The 19,013-nt window shown below is 40.4% G+C and overlaps 1 protein-coding gene and 1 long non-coding RNA gene across 23 annotated transcripts in view, besides 2 other annotated features; one reads left to right on the top strand and one right to left on the bottom strand.

Annotated features, from left to right (window-relative positions):
• The window catches only part of TTN-AS1 (TTN antisense RNA 1), a 97,391-nt gene that overhangs the window by 17,215 nt on the left and 61,163 nt on the right, over positions 1-19,013 (top strand). Inside the window, exons 6-7 of one of the 2 annotated variants that reach the window (NR_038272.1) lie at positions 66-128; positions 2,181-2,320. The exons of the other annotated variant lie outside the window; for it this stretch is intronic. This is a non-coding gene — a long non-coding RNA (TTN antisense RNA 1). The remainder of the gene's footprint in view (positions 1-65; positions 129-2,180; positions 2,321-19,013) is intronic. 2 annotated transcript variants of the gene reach the window in all.
• The window catches only part of TTN (titin), a 281,435-nt gene that overhangs the window by 14,053 nt on the left and 248,369 nt on the right, over positions 1-19,013 (bottom strand). For all 21 annotated transcript variants that reach the window (NM_003319.4, NM_133437.4, NM_133432.3 and 18 more), the window contains 25 exons: positions 18,300-18,596; positions 17,607-18,194; positions 17,212-17,514; positions 16,807-17,103; positions 14,824-15,111; positions 14,412-14,711; positions 13,873-14,175; positions 13,461-13,766; positions 11,589-13,355; positions 10,926-11,219; positions 9,945-10,232; positions 9,529-9,828; positions 7,366-9,432; positions 6,962-7,264; positions 6,559-6,864; positions 6,171-6,461; positions 5,779-6,075; positions 5,347-5,652; positions 4,160-4,465; positions 3,793-4,074; positions 3,028-3,621; positions 2,621-2,908; positions 2,223-2,522; positions 1,241-1,543; positions 27-329 (listed from right to left, as the gene is read on the bottom strand). In NM_003319.4, coding sequence (NP_003310.4) covers positions 27-329; positions 1,241-1,543; positions 2,223-2,522; positions 2,621-2,908; positions 3,028-3,621; positions 3,793-4,074; positions 4,160-4,465; positions 5,347-5,652; positions 5,779-6,075; positions 6,171-6,461; positions 6,559-6,864; positions 6,962-7,264; positions 7,366-9,432; positions 9,529-9,828; positions 9,945-10,232; positions 10,926-11,219; positions 11,589-13,355; positions 13,461-13,766; positions 13,873-14,175; positions 14,412-14,711; positions 14,824-15,111; positions 16,807-17,103; positions 17,212-17,514; positions 17,607-18,194; positions 18,300-18,596 — 11,277 coding nt within the window. The remainder of the gene's footprint in view (positions 1-26; positions 330-1,240; positions 1,544-2,222; positions 2,523-2,620; positions 2,909-3,027; positions 3,622-3,792; positions 4,075-4,159; positions 4,466-5,346; positions 5,653-5,778; positions 6,076-6,170; positions 6,462-6,558; positions 6,865-6,961; positions 7,265-7,365; positions 9,433-9,528; positions 9,829-9,944; positions 10,233-10,925; positions 11,220-11,588; positions 13,356-13,460; positions 13,767-13,872; positions 14,176-14,411; positions 14,712-14,823; positions 15,112-16,806; positions 17,104-17,211; positions 17,515-17,606; positions 18,195-18,299; positions 18,597-19,013) is intronic.
• Positions 2,600-2,649: an enhancer, noted in NCBI's record as "active region_16811". NCBI's record gives its function as "activates an Ori minimal core promoter by ATAC-STARR-seq in GM12878 lymphoblastoid cells {active_cell/tissue: GM12878}" and the evidence as "EXISTENCE:reporter gene assay evidence [ECO:0000049][PMID:35858748]".
• Positions 2,862-4,061: an enhancer, noted in NCBI's record as "CDK7 strongly-dependent group 2 enhancer chr2:179407630-179408829 (GRCh37/hg19 assembly coordinates)". NCBI's record gives its function as "activates an origin of replication core promoter dependent on BRD2, BRD4, P300/CBP, MED14 and CDK7 cofactors, with strong dependence on CDK7, by STARR-seq in HCT116 cells {active_cell/tissue: HCT116}" and the evidence as "EXISTENCE:reporter gene assay evidence [ECO:0000049][PMID:35650434]".

Raw genomic sequence — 19,013 nt, forward strand, 5'->3', positions numbered from 1 at the left:
AGAAAGCAAATGATCATATGTCTCACCAAGCATTTCAGTGACTTTGACTGTTCCTGGTACCTCAGCAGGCTCACCAGGTCCACCAGCATTACAAGCTAGGACGCGGAACCTGTATTCTGCACCCTGAGGTAGGTGTGTTAGAGTATACTCTCGAATCTTGGTTGGAGTGGTGTTACACTTGGTCCATTCATGTTGATCTACTTTTTGCATTTCAATCAAGTAGCCTGTGACTTTAGATCCTCCTTCATCTTCTGGAACACTCCAGGCCAGGGAGACTGATGTCCTTGTTGTATCAGTAACTCTTGGGTTTTGTGGCTTTCCTGGAGGAGCTGAGAATAAGAATAAGAATATACTGGTTAAAGTTGCTGCAAAGTTGAAAATTAGCTGTGCCACCTAACAAATTCAATGAGTTGTTGAAACGGACTGTTAACATTAGCCTGTTTTTTTGTCTTGTGAAAATTTTATTCATGGCTGGGTGTGGTGGCTCATGCCTGTAATCACAGCAAGTTGGGAGGCCAAGGTGGGCAGATACTTGAGGTCAGGAGTTAGTTCAAGACCAGCCTGGCCAACATGGTGAAACCGCGTCTCTACTAAAAACATAAAAATTAGCCATGCGTGGTGGCAGGCACCTGTAATCCCAGCTACTCAGGAGGCTGAGGCAGAAGAATTGCTTGAACCTGGGAGACAGAGGTTGCAGTGAGCCAAGATCATGCCACTGCACTCCAGCCTGGGTGACAGAGTGAGACTCTGTCTCAAAAAAACACAAAAAAACAAAAGAAAGAAAAAAGAAAATTTTATTCATTTTATCAGCTAAAAATACTTAACATTTTTTCACTTTCCTTTCTCTTAAATGTGCTTCATTTGTAATCACTATTATTATCTTACATTTATCAGCAGTTTTTAAAGTGCTTCCAGAAATATTAACTTGTTTTAAAATTTTAAGTGTGATAGAAAGCATATATTATGAATCTCATCTTAAAGAAGTGGAAATTGACTCCAGAGAAGAATATTAAAAATTATTTGCCAGAAATCGCTAGCAGCTGGGGTGGGGAAGGGACTGATTACAAACGGACACAAGGGAACTTTACGGGGTAATAAAAATATTCCACATTTTGATTGTGGTGGTGATTACAAAACAGTACATTTTTCAAAAGTCATAGAACTATATATTTCAAAAAGGTGAATTTTCCCACATATAAATTGTAACTCAATCAATTTGACTGATACAAAATGTCCTTACCAATTGGATCCATGGCAACGATGGGTTTGGAAGGACGACTTGGTTTCCCAGACCCTCTTGCATTAATGGCTGTGACACGGTGTTCATATTCTAAGCCTTCAGTAAGGCCAGTGGAGCGGTACCGTGTCATTGTCACAGGTACTTTATTTACACGGACCCATCGATCTGCTCTCACTTCTTTGCGCTCCACAATATATCCAGTCACTTGGGAGCCACCGTCATCCTCTGGTGGGTACCAAGTAAGTGTCATGCCATCACGGGAAACATCAAATATCTGTAATGTTTCTGGGGGTCCAGGAATACCTGCAGCAAGACAGAGGTTAACACGATATGGCAATATGAATACGTTAAAACAATGACTCATATATTTGTGTTTTCCTTAGGTTTTGGTTGGTATTTTAAAAGGTACATAAGGCACATGACTATTTTTCCAATAGTTTCACTTTTGTACTATTTGTAAATTTTAATTTAAATCATTTAATTATTTAATTATTTTTATTAAAAATTTTTGACTTTTAGCTTCAGGGGTACATGTGCAGTTTGTTACATGGGTATATTGCATGATGCTGAGGTTTAATTTTGTACTTTCCTTGCTGTTCCTCATTTTCTTCAATTCTACATTTATTAAGCATGCACTCTGTATTTTTTTCTCACTATAACATTGCCAGTCCTCCTTCCTTTCCTCTCTTCCTCCTTCCCTTCTCTCTTTTCTTCCTTCCATTCCTTTCTTCCTAACTCCCTCCTCTTCTCTTTCATAAGAGTGAAGATATTAAAAAAAAAATCAAGCCTAAGTGTGTTGAAAACCTCTGAGAAAAGGAGGTTTAGAAACCTGAGAAAAGGAGGTTTAGAAACCTTAGAAAGACCACAGGGTTAATTTTGTGACCTATTTTTATTTACATTAGGGCATATTAAAAACAAATTCTTTTTTGTTAACATTCAGAATCAGAGGTGGGGAGAGTGGTGGAAGGGCCTGTGGACTTACGGATGCTGCTGCGACACTCTATGACCTCAGACTGCAAGTAAGAGCCAATCCCGAAGCGGTTTGTTGCAGCCACACGGAACACATACTCATTTCCTTCGGTGAGTCTGGTAAACTTAAACGTGGACCTAGTCACTGATTCAGAAACGGGCAGCCATCCTGGACGATGAGCGTCACGTTGTTCTACCACATAACCACTCAGTGGAGCACCACCGTCCAATTCAGGTGGTTCCCAGGAAATGGTAATTGATGTAGCATCAATTTCATCAATCTTAATAGGTCCTGTTGGTGGACCAGGCTTGTCTATGAAAGAGAAGAAATACAGGAAATTAATTTTTACTTCAAATCAAAATTGGGTGACTGAACATCAACTTGCTTGTATCTTTGTCACACATCCTTACCAAGAATGATAACTTTAATGGTTTCTGAAGTAGTTCCGGTAACATTCTTCAATTCAAGTGTGTATTCTCCAGTATCTCTGATAGTGGTTTCACGGATGGTTAATTTAGCTACTTTAGTGTGAGTTTCAACTGTGACACGCTCTGATTCTCTCAGTTTAGAACCAGCAAAGAACCAGGAAGCAGCAGGAGGTGGACGGCCAGCAATAGGTATCACCAGCTCTACTGGTCTGCCAGCTGGGACATGGATGGTCTTCTGAGGCATTGTAGAAAGATCGATTGTTGGCAACACTATGGGAAAGAAATCAGGCATTTATTCTTAAGCATTATTTTTATGGTAAATTGTTACGAATTCTGAATGTTTTCATTTTACTTTACTTTTTTTTTTTTTTTGGCTATTTGGTACATACCTCTGAGGTCTTGTACAGTCACGGCTGTGACAGTCTCTCTTGGTTCTGACACACCTTTCTCATTTTGTGCCCTTATTCTAAATAAGTATTGTTCACCTTCATTTAAGGAAGTAACAGTGTGCTCTAGGACTGTGGGTTTTAAGGTGACAACCTTCATCCATCTCTCTGTGCCAGCTTTGCAGGCCTCGAGAACATATCCAGTGAGTCGGCTACCACCATCGTAGAGTGGTTTTTCCCAGGCAAGGGTAACAGTGGATTTGGTGACATCGACCACTTCTAGCTTTGCAGGCACCAAAGGCACTTCTGAGACCAGTACTGCATCAGATGTTTCACAAGGTTCTCCAATGCCATAAATATTTTCTGGCAGCACTCTGAAATAGTACATGGTTCCTTCTACAAGTCCAGAAATTCTGTAAAGTGTCTTGCTGCATTTGGTAGTTACTGTTTTGAATGCTCTCATAGCAGCTTCACGCTTCTCAACGATGTAATTGTTGACTGGAGCTCCACCATCAATCGTGGGAATTTCCCAAGTTATAGTCACAGAATCTCTTGATACTTCCTTAACTTTCACTGAAGGACAGGGACCAGGAGTATCTGAAAAACAGAATGAAAGATTCATATTTCCTATTTGCCTGATAGCTTTTTTTTTCTTGGGGAAATATAATCAACATAGTTCCTTTCTAGAGAGGTGATCAATCATAGGTCAAGCTATATTGTTTTAGAGGATCTACTCATTGTATAGCCAATTTTAAGTAAAATGCTTACCATAGACTTTAACAAGGACTGTTGCTGATTTCTTGCCAGATTGGTTTTCAGCTTCAATTGTGTATTTTCCAGCATCGTACCGATTAACTTTGTCCACTATTAGCAATGAGTAGCTCTCAGTGGTGTCAATAATTGCCCGGCTTGCAAGGTCAATGCCCTGCTTGCTCCACGTTATGACAGGAGGTGGTCTTCCAGATACAGACACCATCAAGCGCAAGGAGGCCCCAGCCCTGATGGTCACAGTCTTCTTTAGATCATCTGCAAGCTCAAGATCTGGTATTTCTGGAAAGTTAATGACAAAATTTAATTAATTCATGGACAGGTGTGAGAAGAAAATAATTCACCTAAAAGCTTCTGTGATAAATACCTATTCTTTCCACGGGCTCAATTTCAGCAATTGATTCGCTGTATTCGCTCATACCCTTCACGTTCACGGCAGCAACTCTGAAGGAATATTTCTGGCCCATTTTAAGGTCTGGCACAGTGAATTCAGTATTTCTTATTGTGGCATTGGTATGCACTCGGTACCACTGATCAGTGTCCTTCTCTTGCATTTCCAGAACATATCCTACAATGTCAGTACCACCATCGTACATGGGTTTGGTCCATGCCAAACTAATGCTGTGTTTGGTGGTATCCACAACTCTTGGAGCAGAAGGTGGTCCAGGGGTATCTGTGGAATTTAAAAAGTGAGATGCAGATATTAGGCAAATAAGGAAATGTTGAGATTTGTATTTTTTGTTTTCAAGACTCACAAAGGCATTATTGCTCTTGTCCACACTCACCAAGATAATCTTTATTAACTGGGCTCCTGATATTATAGGACAGCACAGAGTGCCACATTATAATTTAATATTATTATCTTAAGAATTAAATTGCTTTAGGAAAGTAGATATTTCTTCCCTACTTCTTTGGCCAGCTTTACTGTGTGTTCTCTATTAGCTAAGCTCATTACTTAAAGTACCCATTCTTAGGGACTTTTCTTTAGTTGCTTATCTTTCACTGGGTTAGTATCACTTGCCACCAATACATTTCTAATGAATACAAGAATTGGTTTCCTTAGCTTCCCCAATTCAGTCCCAGTGACTATTCCTTTATAGTTCTTGGGCTCAGACTCTGTAAAAGGATTTGCCACTTATTTTTGAAGCTCTTGTCACAATTACTTTGTCAGTAACTTATGAAACCACTAGAAACTGTATGTTCCTGCTAAACCTCTTCTTAAAAGGAGTTTTGCCATTTTTCTTTTCAGTTATTACAGTACAATGCATTTTTCTCTAAGGAAAATTTATAAAATAGATTCTTTTCATATTGATAGAATATTTTTTCATTAATTGGAAAATGCTGTACAACTTTTAGCAATTCTAATTGCTAACTTAACAGATGTAATAGTTAAAATGTTCTCTGACTTAAGCTATATTTATGATCATGCAAATAAGCATGTGCTTTTCTAGACCATTCATAAATTCTAAAAATTCTTAGAGATTGTGTGTTGGAAAATTATCTGTCATATAGTTTTGAGGAGCATTGTATTTATGTATGATTCTTGGAGCTCACATGATGGTTCTCTGCATGAGATGAAGTTGGAAGCTTCGCTGGGCTCACTGTTACCAGCTGCATTCACTGCGGTCACCCGGAACTGGTAATCACAACCCTCCATCAGGCTGGTCACCTTCAGCCTGGTATCATACACCACATAGTCTTTGTTGACACGTGTCCAGCGCAGGCTCTTCTTCTCACGTTTGTCTACTAGGTAGTTGCTGATTTCATTGCCACCATCAGATTCAGGTTTTGTCCACTGAATGATGATATGCTCTTTGCCAGTCCCAACTTCTTCAGGTATGCCGGGTGGTGATGGAATAGCTGTTTATGAAAATAAGGATGATGAGAATTGCACAAAATTACTATTGATAAGACTGCCCTTCTCCCTTCTCCCCCTGATTCTATTACATTTCAACTGTCAAATTATTTAAAAGTGTTAATACTTACTGAATGAGTTTCTGGCTACAATTGGCTCTGATTCAACAGGCACACCAGGGCCATATTTGTTTACTGCCCTCACTCGGAATATGTACTCATTGTTCTTGATGAGCCTGGTAACGACATAGGATAGGGTTGGGCATTCGCCTTCAACAATCACCCAGTTGAGCCTGCTAGTCTCGCGTCTTTCCACGATGTAGTGAGTGATTTCTGCTCCTCCGTCTTCCTGCGGAAGGCTCCAGGCTAAAGTGCACTTCTCCTGTGTTACTCTGCTGACGGTGAGCTTTCCACATGGGCCAGGGGAATCTGAAACAGGTGTAATGACAAGCCATGATGAAGATCATTCTTTCTGCCCACACTGGAAAATGCTATATAAATGTGAGAACATTTGACATGCTTACCAAGCACTTTGACCATGACAGACACGGCCTTGGTCCCGCTGGCATTTTTCACTGTTAAAGTGTATTTTCCACTGTCACTTCTGTCACAGAACTTGATCACAGCAGTTGCTCGTTTGCCAGTATACTGCAAAGAGACTTTTTCACAGAGATCTAGCTCCTTGTCTCCTTTGGTCCAGATAATTTTGGGTTCAGGTTTGCCACCAACTGCAGCATCCAGAACAAGATCAGAACCTGCTCTGATGGTAACCAGATCACCGTGTAATCGGGCATCCAGTTCGGCTTTGGGTGGAGCTGTCAGTAGGCAAAACAGATATGAATGAATATCTGAGAGTTTATTTTCACATAAATTGAGATAATTTTAAAAAGGAGAATGTTGACTATTTCCTACCGTATTCATCTCGGCAAGTGACAGGGCCTGTAGATTCAGACCCTTTGCTAATTACGCCTGCTGCATTCTTGGCTAACACACGGAACTCATAAGTGTCTCCTTCACTGAGAGCAGTCACGGTGAAGAAATTGTCAGATACAATGGTGTAGTTGCACTTCAGCCAGCGACCATCTCCTACCTCACTGACTGGCTTACGCTCTATGATGTAGCCCACAACCTTGCTGCCTCCATCATACGCTGGGGCAGACCAAATCAGTGATACTGTTGATCTTGTGACATCTGTCACCTCTGGTCTGCCTGGTGCATCTGGAAGGGATGCAAAAATAAGGTTAAAATATACCACTCTGAGTTCTACTAGAATCAGTAATAATAAACAAATATGCCCTTAAATTGTGATACATACCAACTGGATTTTGAGCCATTATAGGTCTTGAAGCTTCGCTGGCCTTGCTAACACCTGCAGCATTGAGTGCATAAGTTCTGAACTGATATTCCAGTCCTTCTACTAAACCAGTTACTTTGTAGTTGCACTCTAAGCATGGCACTTTGTTTTCTTTCACCCAAAGAATTGTATTACGTTCTTTCTTCTCAACCCAGTAGCCAATGATTTTACTGCCACCATCGTGGTAGGGTTCTTCCCAACGAATAGACATGGCATTGGCAGACACATGGTAGACCTCAGGTCTGGTAGGAGCGCTTGGTGGGACTAAATATAAACAAAGGTATTAAGTATGAATACAATTTTATAAAATTCAGGGGAAACATTTAATAATAGAGACTTTGAAATAGGATTTTTATTTTTCTTACCAAATGGATGTTCAGCAATTATTGGTGCTGATTCTAGAGGTTTGCTGACACCAAATCTGTTCTCTGAACTGACACGGAAAGAATATTCCATGTATTTTGTGAGATGAGTGACTTTAATTTGAGTGCGCTTGACACTGGAATTGACAAGCTGCCAAGCTGTTGTACCCGATTCACGCTTTTCAACTATGTAATTAGTAATTTCAGTGCCTCCTCCATCTTTAGGTTCTCCCCATGACAGGACACACGATTCAGCTGAGACAGATGAGACCTCAATGGGGCCGGTTACTGGACCTGGCCTTCCAATGACCACAACTGTGACGCTAAATGTTTTAACACCAGCTGTATTTTCCAGGGTCAAGAAGTATCTTCCAGAGTCACCTCTCATGCTGTCCTTTACAGTCAGTGTGGTTCTGTCTTTTGTTGTTGTAATGCTCACTCGATCTGTCTCTTTAAGTCTCATTTCTTCCAGTTTCCATGTTACTTTGGGGGCAGGACGACCACTGATTGGTACGTCAATGGTAAATGGGCTTCCTGCTTTGCAAGTTATAAGCTGATTGGTAATTCCAGTGAGGTCAGCAGTGGGCTCGATTTGAGGCTCCTTAATGATGACAGAAGAGAAGGCTTCTCTGGGTTCACTATAGCCAGCATCATTCTTGGCCTTCACACGGAATTCATATTCAGTTTTCTCAACAAGACGCTCTACTGTGAAAGTTAGCTGTTTGGTGTGACCAGCTTCAACCCAGAAGTCAGATCCCTTTTGTCTCATTTCAAGCAGGTAGCCAGTGATCCGGCTGCCTCCATCGTGGTCAGGTTTAAGCCAAGCTAAGACTGCGGAGGATTTGCTAGTATCAACAACATCAAGTCTCCTAGGTGGAGCAGGCTGTTCTGTGGCTACAATTGGTTCTGGCATTTCATAGGGCTCACCAACACCATACTCATTTACTGCAGAAACACGGAAATAGTACGGAACACCTTCGGCCAGGTCATTGACCTTGAAGATCTGACGAGTGCATTTTTCACTGATAACCTGCCAACTACGGCGACTTGCCTCTCGTTTCTCTACCACATAATGATGGATTCGGGCACCACCGTCAAGAAGAGGGGCATCCCACATCAATGTAGCAGATCCCCGGGTCACATCTTTGAAGGTAATTGGGCCAGGTGGGCCTGGAGTGTCTAGCACTTTCACGGTGAATGTGATTGACTTACTACCACTGTTGTTTTCCACAGTAAGGGTATATTTCCCTGCATCATTTCTGTTGCAGTTTTCCACAGTGAGGGTGCTGAAGGAATCTGTTGTATGGATATCAGCCCGAAGGCTAAGGTTAGAGTCTGGTTTGCTCCACACAGCTGTAGGAGTAGGTCTACCTTGGTAGGCAATGAAGAGGCGAATACTGGCCCCAGCTCTAACAACATGAGTCTGTTTGAAGTTTGCATCTATGTCTAACTCAGGAGCTGTTAACCGGTCAACTGCTTTAATTGTGCCAGTCACTTCACAGCTGTCGCCTTTTCCAGCACCATTGATAGCACTAACTCGGAATTTGTATTCTTCACCTGCTTGTAGATCAGTGACTGTATATCTTGTTTTCACACATGCCTCTGCATTCACCTTGTGCCAGTCTCCTAAGTCGGCCTTACACATTTCAATAATATACCCAATTATTTCCATGCCACCATCAAACACTGGTTTGGACCATTCTAAGCTCACAGTTGTCTTTGATGTGTCTGTTACTTTGACCACTGTGGGAGGACCTGGTGGGTTGACGGGCTCTCTACATTTAATGAGTCTTGAGATGCCACTTGCAGGTCCAACTCCTGCAGCATTTTCAGCCATGACATGGAATTCATACTCATTGCCTTCTGTCAGACCAGTGACTTTGAATCTTGTTTCAGAGATTGGTCGTTTGCTGATCACTTTTACCCATCTTGTGCTTTTCTTTTCTCTTCTTTCAAGGATATACTGTTGAATTTCACTGCCACCATCTGATTCTGGCCTTGCCCATGTCAGGGTAATGCTGTTGCCTGTTATGTTGCTAGGTTCTGGAATGCCAGGGGCATCAGGAACAGCTGTAAAACAAAAACAAAACCCCAAATCAATTAGATGCATTTGCTTGGAAGGTTAAACTTTTGACATAGTACCGCTTAGTAAAAACGCAAACTTACTATATTGTATTTGAGCAACCACTGGATCAGAATCAAGTGGCCTGCCAACACCAAACTTGTTAACTGCAGAAACACGGAATTGGTATTCATTGCCGTTTATTAGTTTAATGGCAGTGTAACTTTGGGCTTCACATTTATCCTCAATTAGTGCCCAGGCAAGTCTGCTGGTTTCCCGTTTTTCAATGATGTAGTGGGTTATGGGAGCACAACCGTCATTGAGTGGGGCATCCCACCACAGAGTCATCTTCTCCCCAGTAATATTGGTGAATCTTATTGGCCCAACTACTTTTCCTGGTGTATCTATAAGAAAAAGTTTCTAGAGTTAGTTTCTTTTTCCTTGTCCATTAAAATACAACTAGGCATGTCTCTAATCCAAGTTCATAAATTGTAGCATTAAGAAGCTATTTTAAAAGTACCTTGTACTTTCACTTTAATTTCTGCTTTTGCAGAACCAGATGCATTTTTGGCTTCCACTGTGTATACACCACGATGGTCCCGAGTAGCATCTCTAACAAATAGGCTGGTGGATCCAAGTACGTCGGTTATTTCCATATTCATCCTCTTTTCGATTTCCACTCCATCTTTGAACCAAGTTACTCGAGGCACTGGTCTTCCTTGTACCAAAGCTTTAATTCTAAGGCTCTCTCCGGACTTAATAATGAGACCATCAAAGTATTCAGGGCCAAACTCTACTATTGGTGGAACTATAAAAGAAAGAGAAATACTATGTATTAGTTTGGCTTAATAAAGACATACATAAATATATATTTTTCAGTAGTGCCATATCACAAGGCCAGGAAGAGTAGTGACTTCTACTGTGCTACCAAAGCCTATTTTGAAAGTAGGATTGATAATTGAGAATTTGGACTATGGGGTTAAATATTTGCCTATTATTATTCCCTTTGTAATGCCTGTCATGTTTTTAATTTTGCATTGCTCTTTGTAAAAAGGAAAGTGAAACATTTACAGATCATGTACTTCCTAATACTGCTGCACAGTCACACAAGTTCTTTTAAGAGGCCATCAGCTGCATTCAAGCAAGGGGATGATTGTGTTGTTGGATGTATGTTGTATTTTAATAACTTCAGTAAAGATGGACACTTATTCTCGAGAACCTTTTCTTTATGTACTGTTAAGTGGCGAAAATTACAAAGCTAAAAACTCATTCCCACTTGCTGCATGCTCTTTATATGGGAATGGAGTGAAATAATAGAAAAAATAATTGATGCCAATTATTTTTTTCTTCTTTTCATCTGAAAGGTAGAAAGACATAATTCATCCACTTAGCAACCTTGGGTAATTTGTTTCTGTTACCATTTTACAGGCCAGGGGCCAAATGTGTTTTTTAAAAATGTGAATGCTCTTAGTCTCATTGGAAATAAGTTGTAAATGCTTACCATTTTCATCTCTTGTCATAATAATGCCAGAAGACTGTGAGGGCGGGCTTATAGTTCCAACAGCATTTCTTGCAATTATTCTGAACTCATAGCGATCCCCAGGACTGAGTCCTGTAACTGTGTACTGACATTCACTGACGTCAGTAAAGTTGCATCTCACCCAGCGTTCATTTCCTTGCCGTTTCTCAATGCTATAGCCCACAATCTTACTGCCTCCATCACGCAATGGTGGGTTCCATTTAAGTGTGATGGTTTCCCGGGTGACATCAATGTAGTCAGGAGTGCCAGGTGGGTCTAAAAAATTATAAGGAAGGTAAATGCATCATTACATTTGTAACCAGGTCTTAATCATCCATGGAAGAACAATACAATTATTCTATAATTTTAATAAATAAGTAAAATTTTTATAATAAGTAATTTATTCAATCTCCCAAACTCATATTGGTCATTAATTTCAACTTTCCATTTCATAGTCTTTAAAATGAACTTCAAATTAGTTTATTAGACTGACTTAAAATAATTCCTCTTGCTTTACATGACCAGTTCTCTAGTGACAAGAAGATATGTAAGAAGGTGATGCAGAGAAGAAAAGCATTCCTTGATATATTTGTTTCTAATATGTTCAATTGCTAAACTAAATGTATTTGAATAATAATCACTTACCTACTGGAGAAACAGCTAAGGTAAATTTGCTTGGGTCACTAGGTGAGCTTAGGCCAGCAGAATTTTCAGCATATACACGGAATTGGTAATCCAGACCTTCTACCAGTCCAGTGGCTCTATATTCTCTTCCAGAGATTGGTGATGTATTAACTTTTTGCCAGAGGATGCTATTTCTTTCTTTCTTTTCAACATGGAATCCAGTAACTTCTGAACCACCATCATAAACTGGAGCATCCCAAGTTAGTGACATGCCATCAGAAGTCACATTGTATATAACTGGCTTTCCTGGGGGACCAGGAATCCTGAACTGGTGTTTTGCCACAATAATGCTTGAGACAAGTGGTTGGCTGACTCCGTATCTGTTTTCTGCTCTCACTCTAAACTGGTACTCAGCATCTTTGACTAGATTAGGAACTTTGAAAGTCGTTCTGGCAACACTTGAACACACCATCTTCCAGTTAGTTTGTGAAGTTTCCCGCTTCTCGATGCTGTAACAAGTAATTTCTCCTCCTCCATTATCTTCAGGTACATCCCATGACAGGATGACACTATCAGCCTTGATTTCATCAAATCGAATGGGTCCTTTGGGCTTTGATGGTGGGCCAAGGGTGATGACTGTAATGGGGACTGCAATTCTACACACTGCATTATCAAGAATAACAGTGTATTTTCCTCCATGCTCCTTCTTGGCATTCTTAATACTCAAAGTAATTTTGTTTTCAGTTTTACTGAAGCGAACAAATTCACTTTCTTTCAGTGGCAAGCCATCTTTCAGCCAACTGATGGATGGTTTGGGTTTTCCCTTATAAGGTAATTCAAGGTGCACATTGTGCCCAATTCTCACAGTGACTTGTGCCCCAGGGATATCTGACAGGTCAACTTCAGGTGTAATAATAAGTTCTTTCACTGTAATTGGCCCAATAGTGACAGGATCACTCAGTCCTTTCTCATTTTTGGCAAACACTCTGAACTCCAGGACTGACTGCTCCTTAAGTTGGCTAACCTCAATTTCACATGTCTTACTTATGCCAGCGTGGGACCACGTCTGTTCACCTTTACCTTTCCTTTCTACAACATATTCTGTGATGACGCTACCACCATCAAAGTCAGGTTTGGTCCAGCTGAGGATGACAGATGTCTTTGTTGAGTCTTTCATTGAGAGATCACGTATAGGAGCTGGTACTTCAGCAGCCTTCACTGGCTCTGTAGTTTCACAGGGTTCCCCAATTCCAATTTCATTTTCTGCAAGAACTCTGAAGAAGAATGGAGTCTTCTCCGACAAATCTATTAGCTTGAAGGATGTGCTAGAACATTTGTGTGACACGACAGACCATGTTCTCTTGGTGGCATCTCTCTTTTCAATGACATAATTAATTATTGGAGATCCTCCATCAATGAGAGGAGGATCCCAGAGCAAAGTGACTGTGCCTCGAGAAACATGTTTAACCTGTAGTTTCTGGCAGGCAGCTGGTGTGTCAAGCACTTTAACACTCACAGTTGAAGACTTAGGTTCACCAACTCCATTTTCTATTGTGAGAATATATTTTCCTGTATCATTGCGAGTAACTTGAGGAATGGTGAGTAATGAGGATGAATCAGTGTTTTCAATGCTGTATCTGGCATCACTGCCAAGATTCTTCTCATCTTTTCTCCATGTGACAGTAGGTGGAGGTCTGCCTTTAAAGGGAATCAACACTTGTACATCTTCACCAGCTTTGGCAATAACAGAAGTTCTGAGAGCCACATCCAGGTCAATCTCTGGTGCCTCTGTAGACATAAAATGGATACATACAGTGAATTTTAAAAGCAAAAAAGAGTGATTTCCTGGAAGTATGCTTATTAAAAAACATAATCAAACCAGTAGGTACATACCAAGTATATCTTTAGCTTGTACAGGTTCATTCATTTCTATAGGTTCTCCTTGTCCAGCACAGTTTACAGCAGATACCCGGAAGTAGTAATTGACTCCAGGTTTCAGGTTGGATACCACATATTCTGTAGTTCTGACCTCTCCTTTGGTAGAGACAGTAGTCCATTCCTCTTCCTCTCCTTGTCTTATCTCGACAACATACCCAGTAACAGCACTGCCCCCATCATAGACAGGCTTACTCCAGCCAAGGGTGATGGATGACTTGGTTGAATCTGCGATTCTTATCTTAGCAGGTGGACCTGGAGGATCTGGAATGGCCATTCACAATAAAATAATTACACAATCATGTACAATTTAGTCACACAGGTGAATATAGAAGACACAGGTGAAGATGCTGCAGGTATGAGCACTTACCAATAGGATCAGCAGCTTTGTAGAATTCAGATGGTTCAGAAAATGGACCCTGTCCAGCAGCGTTTACAGCACAAACTCTGTATTGATAGTCACTGTTTTCTGTGAGTCCTGTTACTTTTTGTCTGGTGTCACGGATAGTCTCTTTTAGTACTTTAAACCATCCTAGGCTCTTCTTGTCTCGTTTTTCAAGGAAATAGCCACTTATATCACTACCGCCATCTGCAATTGGCCTGCTCCATACAACAGTCATCGAATTCTTGGTAATCTTTGTCACTTCTGGTATGCCTGGTGGCCCAGGTGTAACTATTTAGAAAGGAAGGGAAAACAAGGTACAAGAATCCACATTACTGATAAATTATACCTTTGATGTTCGCATTCTTTCCAAGAACATTGGTTTTATTTTTTATATTTTTCACCTTGTGAAAAGGATGGTAATGAGACAGGTGTTATATAAAAGAAAATTAAAGCATATGCACAGGTTAGCGTAGTTTATTTTTAAATTTTTCACGTTTCAGTTTTCTAATGAAATCATGTCTCACCAAATGCGTTCTTGGCTACAACGGAATCAGATTCCAGTGGCTCGCCAATTCCATATTTGTTCACGGCTCGGACCCGGAAGATGTATTCATTTCCTTTGATAATTTTGGTGGTTGTAATGATGCACTCTTCCAAATGTTCAGACACCATAGACCACACAACGCGGCTTGTCTCACGCTTTTCCACAATGTAGTGAGTGATTTTTGCACCACCATCATCAGCTGGAGGCCGCCAGAGAAGGGTGATCTTCTCAGCAGTTACAGTCTTAAATTCAATTGGTCCACCAGGTGGGCCTGGTTTGTCTATCAGTGAAAGGACAAAACACGATGTTAGTACTTCTTTAAAGCCTACTTGTTCAAAATTACTAAGCTTTAGGCAAATGTAATATGACAGTGGTCTGTATTCAGCACCTACCAAGGATCTGTACTCTGATGGTGGCTGAGGCTGAGCCCATGGCATTCCTTAGTTTTAATTCATAGCATCCACTATTAAGGCGATCGGCATCTTTGATGAGTATAGATGCGAGGTCCGTGGTATTTTCAACACACACCAGTGCATTGGTTTGTAATTCTTTATCATCTTTATACCACTCAATAGTAGGCGCAGGTTTGCCAGAAATGCCAGCTCTGAGCTTCACAGATGTACCTGCTCTGTATTTGACAACTTCTGTATATTCTAGAGGCAAATCAATTACAGGACCACCTGCAAGAAAAACAGATGAGAAATATTTAAAATATTATAAGGATGGAAAAAAAAATAGTTGCACCAACCTTAAAGTAAGGTCATTGGCCATTATTAAATTATACACACACACCATCATTATAATTCTATGCAATTATTATTTAAAAATTAAAAATTTATAGGCCACTCTTCTATCTCAGATGGGGTAGAAAGACTGTGAGTTGTGCAGGGACTTAAGCACCTTTTACATGTGTTTTAAAGTCCATTAGTTGCTTTATTCCAGTGAAGAAATGGGATATGGTAGTGAGAACATCATGGAAGAAGCTGTTAAAACATTTCCTTTCACTTTAGCTTTTCTTTCCTTTTCTTCTACGCACCTCCTATTCTTTTTCTTTTCCCATCCCAGTTCACTGATATCCAAGTGTGGATGGTTCATGTCAGACACTTAAAGTCTGAATTCTCTACCCACAGAGCTACATAATTACTGGACAGATTTTCTGCCATGCTGTTTGGAATTATCAAGAAAGATAACTAAATTCGACTTGCTTTATACTCTCATAAACACTGATTCAGTATCCACAAAGCCTGATTCATAAATAATGAACAGCCCTGAGATTCTCAGCATGAAGATGGAAGTGGATACTTTTGCCCAGACACTACAGTGGCTCAATTTTCTCTTAGCAAATGGAGATCTTTTAGGTAAAGTGTCACAGGATACCTGACTCTCATGACGTTTTAATTTTCAAAACATTGTTGAGTTGAATGTGCCACTTATTTTCCAGAATGGTGAAGAATACGCATTTTGGACTAACCATGATAGAGAGGGCTCTGAAGTCTGTCTGTCTGAATTCCCACTCCATCCCTAACGGGGAAGTTACAAAAGCACTCTCAGCCTCAGTTTCCCTTCTATAAGATGGCTAATATGAGGGCTGTGAGAACTAAGGGAAAGAATTCATGAAAATTCCTCAATAAATGTTAGCTGCTGCTAATACTATCATCATCAAAGTCTGTGTTTAGACCAGGCATGGTGGCTCACACCTGTAATCCCAACACTTTGGGAGGCCGAGGTGGGTGGATCACCTGAGGTCAGGAGGTTGAGACCTGCCTGGCCAACATGGTGAAACTCCGTCCCTACTAAAAATACAAAAAATTAGCTGGGTGTGGTGGGGCATGCCTGTAATCCCAGCTACTCAGGTGACTGAGGCACGAGAATCGTTTGAGCCCAGGAGGCGGAAGTTGCAGTGAACCAAGACCGTGCCACTGCACTACAGCCTGGGCGACAGAGTGAGACTCTGTCTCAAAACAAACAAACAAACAAACAAACAAAAAAAAAAAAACCAAAAAATGAAGTCTCTGTTTAGTCTGTGGCTTATTTAAGAGCAATATTCTCTAGGAACTCAACCATGGTTTAATTATTGACTCTGATAATTTAAAACAGAATGAAAGCACCAACTCATACAATCAATCATAAAAGGTTGAAGTTGGAAAGGCCCATAGATATCCTGAGGTCTAAATCTCTCACTTTACAGTCAAGTCAAGAGGGCTGGAAAGGTATTTAAGGAATTTTCCTCAGACTCCCAGCTAGTCCATAATTTCTTCCAAAAACCCCATTAAGGCACAGAGTAAAAGTTATTCTATAGGATTAGAACCAGGAAAAGGTATGCGGAAATACTGAGTTAAATAGCAATTTTGATTCAAAGTGCTAAGCATGCTTACCATAAGAATCGATGCAAGTAATGGGCCCTACAACCTCAGATGGATTGCTAATGGAACCAACAGCATTCCTAGCAAAGACACGGAATTCATACTGGGAATTCTGAGTCAAGCCAGAGATGATGAATTGAGTTTCAGTAACATTGGTGAAGCTGGCCTTGGTCCATCTGCCATCTGGAAGGTCACGTCTCTCAACAATGTAGCCTGTAATCTTGCTACCTCCATCGAAAGCTGGTTGTTGCCATGAAAGGCTGACAGAGTTCTTTGAAATATCAGTGATACGAACATTTCTTGGGGGTTCTGTGGTAATAAGAGAAGCAGATTAGCGGCACTTATAATATTTTGCTTCGCAGAAGTAAGATTTGCATTTTTGTTATCAGAACTGCCCTTCCCATGACAAATACGTACCACAAGCATCAATTGCCAAGACTGGTTCAGAAGGATGGCTAGGTTTTCCAACTCCAGCAGCATTTTCTGCATACACCCTGAATTCATAAATAAGTCCAGCACTGATTGTTGTGACTTTGAAGTGAGTTGTGCGGATGACCAGTTTGTTGGCTTTTTGCCATAAAATACTGTTTCTGTCTTTCATTTCCAGGTGATAGCCTACGACTGCACTGCCTCCATTTGACACTGGTTCATGCCAGCCCACAGTGATGCTTTCTCGAGTAACATTAGTGACCCATGGTGTAGATGGTGGTCCAGGTGTTGCTACAAAAGAGAGAAATCCTATAGATTAGTACAGACAATAACACATTTATGGTAAAAGAAAACCTGGATCTTTGAAAAGTTGGACAACTTACTGTATGGTAGTTTGACAGTCACACAAGCTGAATCTATATGATCACTGATGCCAAAGCGGTTTTCTGCCTTGATGCGGAATTGGTATTCTTCTCCTGTGGTCAGTTTCATGACTTTCATCATGGTTCTTGCAACTGTTGCAGACACTTCAGTCCACACTGCAGTACTTGTTTCTCTTTTGAGTAGAATGTAGTTGGTAACTTGACTTCCACCGTCATACTTAGGTGGCTCCCATTTGAGAGTCACACTTTCTTCAGTTATATCACTAATAACAACAGGGCCAGTTGGAGGACCAGGCCTGTCTAGCACAACAATGTTAATGAAAGCTTTGGTTGTACCACTGGAGTTGGCAGCAGTGATTTCATATCTCCCAGCGTCAGCTGTAACACTTTCTTTGAGATTGATGGTCAGGTTCTCAGCAGTAATTTCGGTATTAAATCTCATGGTTGCCTTAAGGGGGACACCATCTCTTGATAAGGTCACTTTGGGAAGTGGTTTTCCAGAGATTGGAATGTCAACTTTAAGGTTTGAACCAGCTCTAACATATACAGTGTGACTTGGGAAATTCTTCATATCAATTTCAGGTGGTTCTGAAAAATGAGTATAGAAAGTGAAAGTGAAAAAGTGTTTCTGAAAATTAACATAAATCAATGCAAATAATTTCAAATTTTGCTTCTACACAAAATTAGACATACCTAGTTGCTCCTTAATAAGAACAGGAAGCAGAAGCTCTCTCGGGTCACTCAGGCCAGCTTGATTTTCAGCAAACACTCGGAAAAAGTATTCAGAATTCTCTCTCAGACCGGAAACAACGTGATGGGTTGACTTTGCCACTGCACATTTAACCCAGTTTTTCTGTCCTTTTTCTAGTGCTTCAACGACATAGTGTACAATTCTGCTTCCGCCATCATGTTCAGGCTTCAGCCAGGTCAGGGAAACACTGTCTTTGGATATACTTGTTACTCCAAGTTTTTCAGGTGGGCTTGGTTTTTCTAAGAAAACAAAGCATCAAAAGAAAGTGAATAATTATTACAGCACTTTTAAATGTGCACTCTTCATGTATTGTCAAAAGAAAACTTTTAAATGAAGGCCATATTTTTATGTTGATTTTAGTCTTCCTTTTTACATAACCCATTTTGCTTCTGAACCAACCAAGGCTCCCACAAGCTATGTCATTACATGCTATAGCATTCAAATCCAAATTAAGGGTAAAATGACCAGATTAAATGATAAAATTTACTCCAAATTCACCATGGGGATAAAAAAGAGGAACAAGATGAACAATCTTTTAAAAAACTTTATATACAATTTCTGTACACACGCACATACACACATATGATATATGTCATACACACATACTATATATATATAATCTGTGTATATATATATATAAACATGTATACCTACAT

The sequence above is a fragment of the Homo sapiens genome, chromosome 2 (assembly GCF_000001405.40).
Source record: "Homo sapiens chromosome 2, GRCh38.p14 Primary Assembly".
In the NCBI taxonomy this organism is placed as follows: Eukaryota; Metazoa; Chordata; class Mammalia; order Primates; family Hominidae; genus Homo; species Homo sapiens.